The following is an 8,000-nucleotide window of genomic DNA, read 5'->3' as shown; positions in this document are numbered from 1 at the left end:
TCCCATCTCAAGCCCAAGCCCCTTTCCCACCTCCGGGTTGGACTGATGGGAGAGGATAGAAACCTGGAAGGGCTGCCATGACCCTATGTGCAGAGGGTTCACCCGAGGTGAACACCTCCAGCCCCCTCCAGGATTCAACTTCTACCCGCTTCCAGACAGCAGAAGCTTTGCCTCCCTCCTGAAGGACAGTAGGAGCTTGGTTTGGGAAGAGAATAGAGGAGGAGAGAGTGCCCTGGGACTTCTCAGCCCAAAAATTCTTGGCCTGGACTTTAGCTTCTGGAGTTTGGGGAGTTTCTTTTTGCCTGTCTCTGGATGAGGATGAGATTCCAGAGCAGCTGTGGTGGCTGGAAGTGGCCAACGTGCCTTGAAGGGACCTTGGAAGATGTTGGGCAGGTGAGCTGCAGGGGCCCAGTGGTGTAGGGAGAGTTGGGCCTTCAGGAAGACCCTCCCCAGCCCCAGCCTGGGACCCTGCACTGCCCTCACCCTGAGGATGCTGGTGAAGTACATGGATGTGCCTGGCAGAAACCAGCCTCCAGAGTGGGCCGCGGTGGCGATGGACAAGTGGGAAGCTGAGCAGGTGAGAGAGAGCAGGGTGGAGATGGTTCAGGGACTAGCCCACAGCGGGGCTTGAGAGTGTGTGGAAGCCCCATTGTGAGCTGCATTGTGTCCCCCAAAATTCATGTGTTGAAGTCCTAACCTCCAATGCCTAAGAAAAGGACTCTATTTGGAGACAGGGTCTTGCAGAGGTGATTAGGGTAAAATGAGGTCATTGAGGTGAGCCCTAATCCATTAAGACTTCTTAAAAAAGGGGATTAGGACACAGACACACACAGATGGAAGACCATGTGAGGACACAGGGAGAAGGTGGCATCTACAAACCAAGGAGAGAGGCTGCAGGAGAAACCTACCCTGCGGCATCTTGCTCTTGGACTTCCAGCCTCCAGAGCCGTGAGGAAATAAGCGTCTGTTGTTTACACCCACCCCCCCTTCTCTGATTTTGCTATGGTAGCCTAAGCAAACTAAGACTCCCTGCTCTGAGGACACTGTGAACTTAGTAGGGGCTCTTTGTAGGGGCTGTGATGTCGCCACATTGTGCACGGGCCATCTGTGCTATCCAATGCTGGGGTCACATTCATTCGGTAGCAGGAGTGAAACCTCCCTGAGTTTCTAGCTGGGGCCATAGCCTGCAGCCAGGCCTGGGCAAAAGGGCTGCCTGGAGCTTGGGCCCCAGGTCTCAGTGATGTGTATTTTATACTTCTGGTTTGCTATGGTTTAAATGTGAGCCTCCAAAATTCAGGTGTTGCCAATGTGCAGTGTTAAGAGGTGAGGCCTTTACAAGGTGATTAGGCCAGGAGGGCTCCTGCTGGGAGGGGATCTGTGCCCCCATAAACAGGCCTGATGGAGGGGGTGGTGTCAGGCTTGCCCCTCTGCCTTCTGCAGTGTGAGGGTACAGCACGAAGCCCTCACCAGGCCAAATGCCGGTGCCTTGGCCTTGGCCTTCCAACCTGGGAGAAATGCATTTCTGTTCTTGATGAACTGCCCAGTCTTTGGTGTTCCATTTTTGCGGGACAAACGGGCTCAGGGTTATAGTCCCATACCACGTTGTATACCTTGTTGCTCAAATGGCTCCTGCCTTGGCCATTGAGCACTCTCTCCGTTGGCTCCTGGGCACCCTTATCACTGGGGTTTTGTTCTCTGAGCACTTCCTGACGTTCTGGTGCTATAAGAGTCACCAGGATCATCTTGTACATTCTCTGCCTGGTGCTACAAGAGGCACCAGGATCATCTTGTACATTCTCTGCCTAGTCCCAGAACCAGCCATTTCCCTAAGGAACCCATCTCCTTTTATTTGGGGAACGGTGTTAGACACCAAGGTCAGGATGAGCAGTGCTCCTTGCTAGGGAGTGTCGTTTCTTGTAGGCCCTCTCAACTAACAAGGCACAGAAACACATGTGTGCGCCGATTAATAAACACCTCTGGGGACATTTCTGCATGTAACCATCTGCACCTATGGTAAGCAGAAACGTGGGTTCCCACTGACACCTCCAACTCGAATCTGTCGCCACATGGGTCATCCTGGGCTCTGCCCCTTGCTTATCTGTGACTCTCACCGCAGCAGGGAGAAGCTTGCTCCCACTGGCTGCCACCCACTTCCTTAATTAATCACTCAGCTCCAGGATGCACGCATTGTGGTATGAGCAGCGCTGACCTGGAGAAGTGGCTTCGCCGGCCAGAGCGCAGGGCTGTGTACAGTCCTTCCACTTTCCTCTCAGAGGCTCCACTCATGTCCAGAGTTACTCAGCTAACCCCATTTCCCTGTCCCTTCAGAGAGGTTCTTTCATGCATTGTTTTGTTCTAGATTCCTTATGTAAGCAGTTCATTGACTCCTGACGTCACGGTGTCCCTCAGGCCTACGCCTTGCCTAGACCAGTCAGTGGCGCCCATTACTGGCGTTGTCTCACCTTTGATGCCTGCTCTCCACACATCTGAGGAGGATGTGAGTCTTATGGTGCCACATCCTTTCTCTCTCTCCCCTTTCCACATGCCCCAGCTGCCACCGCCCTCACCCTGGGCCAGCGATCCCCTCTCCCTGATCACAACCTCAGCTTGGCTTCCTTCTGGCTTCTTCCCTGGAGCCCAGCCTCCCTGCCGAGCTGTCCTGCCGTGAGGCCAGTGCTGTCCTTCTCTGTCTGCACACTTCTCAGCATGTGAATGAAGTCCTCCTTCCGCTTGGAGAACCCACGGAGAGAGCTCAGGCTGCTGTTTTTGGGGAAATGGTCCCAGAGCTTCCTCATCATGGGGGAGAAAGACTTCTTTCCACGTAGGAGTCTCACTCCACTCCCCGGGAGAGAGCCCTTAAACCGCTGCACCGAAAATGCCCCTGTGAGGCCTTCGCGCTGAGCCCTAATACCAGCCACACCAAGCCATGACTTCCACAGACAGAGAACCAGGGCAGGCAGAACCCCCGAGCGCCAGGGTCGCACTTGAGGATTTCCCCTCAGCTCTGTGTCAGCACTGCCTGCGGCAGACACCGGGACGTGCAGCTCCCTCAGCTGGAATGAGGTGGTCGTCCCCTGGCGGCCAGCAGGGCTTGGGGTAGCCTTTGGGGGATTTCCTTGGCTGAAGAGAACTGGCTCAAACAAGGCCATATGTCCTTCCAGTGACTGATGGACACCAGGGAGTGAGGCCGGCCCTGCCTCCCCATCTTGGGTCAATTCTGCAAGGCCGCCAGCTTTCCAGCTCCTTGGGGGTGGTCAAGGCCTGCATCAGGGTTGTGCTGGACTCAACCGGTACCTCCACCGATATTCGCTTCCTGCCTGCCCTCCAGCAGTGTGGGTTGCCAGGGCAGCGCGCTTCCTGTATGTCTCTGTCCATCTCAGAGTCTGCTTCAGGGAGATCAATACCCTGCTTAGAGCAACGAGCTGGCCAGGAAGGTGCCCCCGTCCCAGCCAGGCCACGGCGCTCCTCCCCACATGGTAAGGACCCAGCTTGGTAGCTGGGACGCTGGCTCTCTGCCCAGCTCCCACCCAGACCCAGCCTGTGCTTAGCACCGGGCTGCGGGCACAGCCAAACCCCCATGGCTGGAGACACGGAGTCCAGACAAGGGGGGCTAAGGAGGTTCTCACCAGGGTCTGGAGTTCGGGTGGCCTGGCCTGGGGGGAACTAAGTGAGGAGAGCTGGTAGCAGGAAAGGAAATCGCTGGGCCTGGGGGCTCTGGCCAGCTGGGGACGCACAGCCCAGGCCGAGGGGATGGCTCCCCTTAGCCAGTGGATAGTCACCATGCAGCAGAGGCCCAACATGACCTGTTCTGGTTCTTAAAGACCAGCTAGAAATCCTGACCTTTATGTGAAATATCCCGGTCTTTAATGCTGGTTCCACTTCTCAAACACAAGCAAAGAAACAAATAAAACCCAAGTGTGGCTGAGTCTCCCACACAGCAGTGAGAGGAGAGGGAAGGTGCTGTAGCGCTGGCTGTGTCGGGGGTCATTAGCACCCTCTTTTAGACTGCATTCTAACAATTCCCCTTAGGACCTTGCCCATAGCCACCATCCCGCTCATTTCTCTCCTTTGTTCATGGACACAAGCCCTGTTGCACAGTCTTTGTCCTCTCCTGTGGTCCAGCTCTTCCTGGATCCACTGAGTCCCCAGTCCGCCTCCCAGAGGGAGTCCCTGTGAGCCCGCTGGATGGTGGCCCATTTCAGGCCCCATGCTGGAGGCTGGGCAGGGCTGATAGTGCCACACTGGACATGGAGGAGCCCGGTGACCCAGGAAGGGTGCTGGGTGGTCAAGTCCTTTGGGAGTGGGGGAGGGGAAGGAGCGTCTGCCCCAGCTGCTCAGGCGGTGTGTGGTGGGGCCTGAAGGCTGACGGGTACTGCTTGGGGTGCTGGATCTGTGCTGCTCAGAAGGGCCTGTCTCCCTTGGGTATGTAAAGGAGGTGACATCACCAGAAGTGCTCTGTGAGAGGAAGCAGCATTTACTGGAAAGATAGTTGGTTAAGAGCAGCCTGGAGTATGGGGGGCCTGAGGGTGTGGTACCAGCAGAACTCAAGGACGTGGCAATTGGCAGAGGAGAAACTTGCCTGAAGCAAGGCAAGGAGACAGCTTGGGTGGAGTGGAGGGAGAGTGGAGAAAGGGGCACCATTGCCAGAGATGGAGGCTGCAGCTGGGGCCATAGGCCCAAGGCCTAGCAAGAAGCCATGGAGGAAGAGACCAAAGGGCTGCTTTCTAACCAGCTGAGCAGAAGACCAGGGGAACTCGCTGTCATTCTGCAGTGCAGACAACCTCCCAGTGGGCCTCTCGCTCCCAAAGCTTCAGCACACAGGGCTTCATATGAATAGGCCATACACACATGAACATGTGTTTGTGCACTTGTGCCTATTTGTGCACATGCATGCGTATATGTATAACATGTGTGCACGTGCATGTGTGTATGTATTCACGTGTGCATGTGTATGTTAAAGACAACAGCCATTTCATGCCAAAGTCAGAGGCCAAGGTTGCCCTGAGACCACAGACCCACGGATAGCTCACAGAGGCCTTTGGACTTCTTCAAGGCATGGAGTGAGGTTCAACCAGCCAACATCTGGGTTACGCATTTATTTTCTTAGAGTAAATAATCTTAGGGGTGGGGAACAGCTGACACAGTGTGGTTTTTTTCTCCATGTGATTTCGAAGTGATATCCACCAGGACTTCTGTCCTTAGGCTTCTTTTCTTTTCCCCAGTTGTCAAGGGGAGTAAAGACTCCAGAACTGTGTTTAGTCCTTCAAAGGAAAGTCCACCCCTGGGCGGAGAGAGAAGTGCTCTGTGAGAGGTGCTCAGAGCACCTCTGAGTGCTTCTGATACCAAAATAACCAGCTTCCCAGGCCTTTTTGTCTCCTCAGTACGATGCATGAGATGAAAGTTCCTTCGGAAAACTGAGCATCTGAGACCCCATGGGGATGAAGTTCCATGGAGAAGAAGTTGTAGTGCTGCCTCTGCCTCAGGGGTTAGCCTCCAAGTCAGTGAGTGAAGGAAAGAAGCTTGTGTGGTCAAAGTGATTTGCAGGAGCCTCTTCAGCCACTTGCCAAGCACAATTCTTCTGGACCTGTCCACACAACTCCATTCAGTAAATCTCCTGCACACTCAAAGCTTGAGAATCACAAAGACAGTCTAAAGAAAACATTTCTCTCTTCTTCCTTCTTCTTTCCCTTCCAGACCCCACCCTGAAAAGGGTTTGTGGTCAGACATCCAGCTTTTCAAATCTTTCACCTTTAAGATGGCTGTAATCCCTACTGTGTGGGGCAGATGTTGGCTGCCCAACCCAGCAGCTACTTCCAAAAACTTCCACTCTTGCCTTCCTCCCACACCAGAGGCTAGAAAAGCAGCTCATTCCTTTCCCAGTCTCCCTTGCAGTAAGTGTGACCAGATAGCCCAGCTCTGAGTAATGAAATGTGAAAGGGACTTCTGGGAAGGCATTTGTTTCATTTTGCTTTGTTTTACCTTGATAAAAGAGACAGACACCAGATGAGAATGGAGAGGGCTACTCTTTTCCTCCTATTTTCCTTTGAACATGGATGTGATGCTGGATTTGTGGCAGCCATTTGAAACCCTGAGTTGTCAAGCATGAGAGCAAAATGTCAACAGGCTAAGGAAGTCAGAACGTAATCATGAAAGGAGCTGAGTTCTTCACAGCACCCTTACATAATGGGCCAACTGGGAGACTCATCTGCCTCTGTGATTCTTGTTTATTTGTTAGAATAAGTTCAGACATGAGTGACAGAAAGCCTAAACTGATGATGTTAAAGAAAATATAAGTTTATTTCTTATAGAAATCCAGGCCATAGATGAAAACATGGCTCCACAAATTTCAGGGACCAGATTCAATATGTAGCTTTCATCGTGTGGCCTAAGATGTTGCTCAAGCCCCAGCCATCACACGTGGCTCCAGCCACCAAGATGGAGAAAAGGAGAGTTGATAAGCAGGACTTCTCTCTGTAACACACTCTGGAAGTTGCAGGCACCACTTCCATCTACCAGAACTTAGTCACTTGACCACATTTACTACTTGCGGGACTGAGAAAGGTAGACTCTACTTGGACATCCATGTGCCCAACTAACATTTGATATGTTAAGGAATGACTAGTGGTGACTGTTGCATGAGTAAACATTAAAAGGTTTACATATAGTTAGTCACATTGTCTGTTACTTGCAGCCAATAGCTTTCCTAGCTCATACTCGGTGAATTTCAAAAGCATTTCTCAGATTTCCGTTTCCAACCAACATGGGAAAGTGGAGACTTAATTATTCTTCCTGCATGAAGCAATAACAAACCTGGGCAAAATACAAGAAACAATTACATTCAAAACTTTAGATGTCAAGCTGTGAAGGACAGTGATTCCTGAATGATGAAATCGAATGAGGGAAAGCCAACTTATTGCCTCGAGAGCATTTCCAGGTGGAGGTGCTGGGAGGAGAAACCCAGAGAAACACAAGAAGAGAACCCTGAAGATCTTCAGAGAGTTTCCCTCAAGTAATCAGCTGTAAACATGTCAGTGCTTGTATGTGAGGGAACGAACTGAGGTTAGGAGAAGAACCATTAGAAAAGATTAGAGGGAACAATGCCTGGGGCTGATACAGCTCATATAGGTCCATAGAGTGCCTGTTTCCACCAGCCAGTCTAGGAAACCTCTTAATTCACACAGCATTAGATACCATACTCAGGTATTGTCTTTCAGATTTATTAGAGCAGCATTTATCTACCAATGGTCTTGCATCGATAACAAATCCGAAAGATGATACTTGAAATGATCAAACTGCTTCCCAATAACTTAACTGAGTACCAGAACAAAATTTAAGAATATTTATAGAAATACAAAGCCAGCACAAACATAGTAAAATTCACAATGTCTGGTACCCAGTAAAATATCTTCAGGCATACAAAGAAACAGAAAAATATGACCGTTACTAAAGAAAAATCAAACAATCAAAAGCAAATCAGAACTGACACAGATGTTAGAATTATCAGACAAAGGCATTAAAACATTTATAGTTGCATTCTATATGTATAAAAGCTCAAGTAGAGACCTAATCAAACTTCTGCAGATAAAAACTACAATGTCTGAGATGAGAAATTAATGGCAAATTACACGTTGCAGAAAAAGAGATGAATGAAATTGAAGATACAGCAAAAGAAATAATATAAGGTGATACACAGAGATAAAAAATATAAAATAAATAAACAGTACATCAGAGGAAACTTCAAGAAACCTAATAAATGTTTAATTAGGATTCCCAAACAAGAGAGAGTTTAGTTAAAAAAAAAGATATATAAAGAAACAATGGCCAAAAAATGACAAACTATGATATAAACAATTAATCTACAGATGCAAGAATATCAACAAACCCTAAGCACAAGAAACATAAAGAAAAAGACACCAAGATACATCATGATCAAATTGCTTAAAACCAGTAATTCAAAAAAACCTTAAAATGAGCCATAGAAAAAGGCATATTACATACAG

General features: G+C 50.0%; 1 protein-coding gene across 3 annotated transcripts in view; it reads left to right on the top strand.

Moving 5' to 3' along the window:
* Positions 1 to 8,000, top strand: part of KLF15 (KLF transcription factor 15) — a 69,284-nt gene that overhangs the window by 45,887 nt on the left and 15,397 nt on the right. The gene's annotated exons all lie outside the window — the stretch shown is intronic.

The sequence above is a fragment of the Homo sapiens genome, chromosome 3 (genome assembly GCF_000001405.40).
Source record: "Homo sapiens chromosome 3, GRCh38.p14 Primary Assembly".
In the NCBI taxonomy this organism is placed as follows: domain Eukaryota; kingdom Metazoa; phylum Chordata; class Mammalia; order Primates; family Hominidae; genus Homo; species Homo sapiens.
Note: the sequence above shows the minus strand (reverse complement) of the source record. Positions and strands in the feature narration are given on the sequence as shown.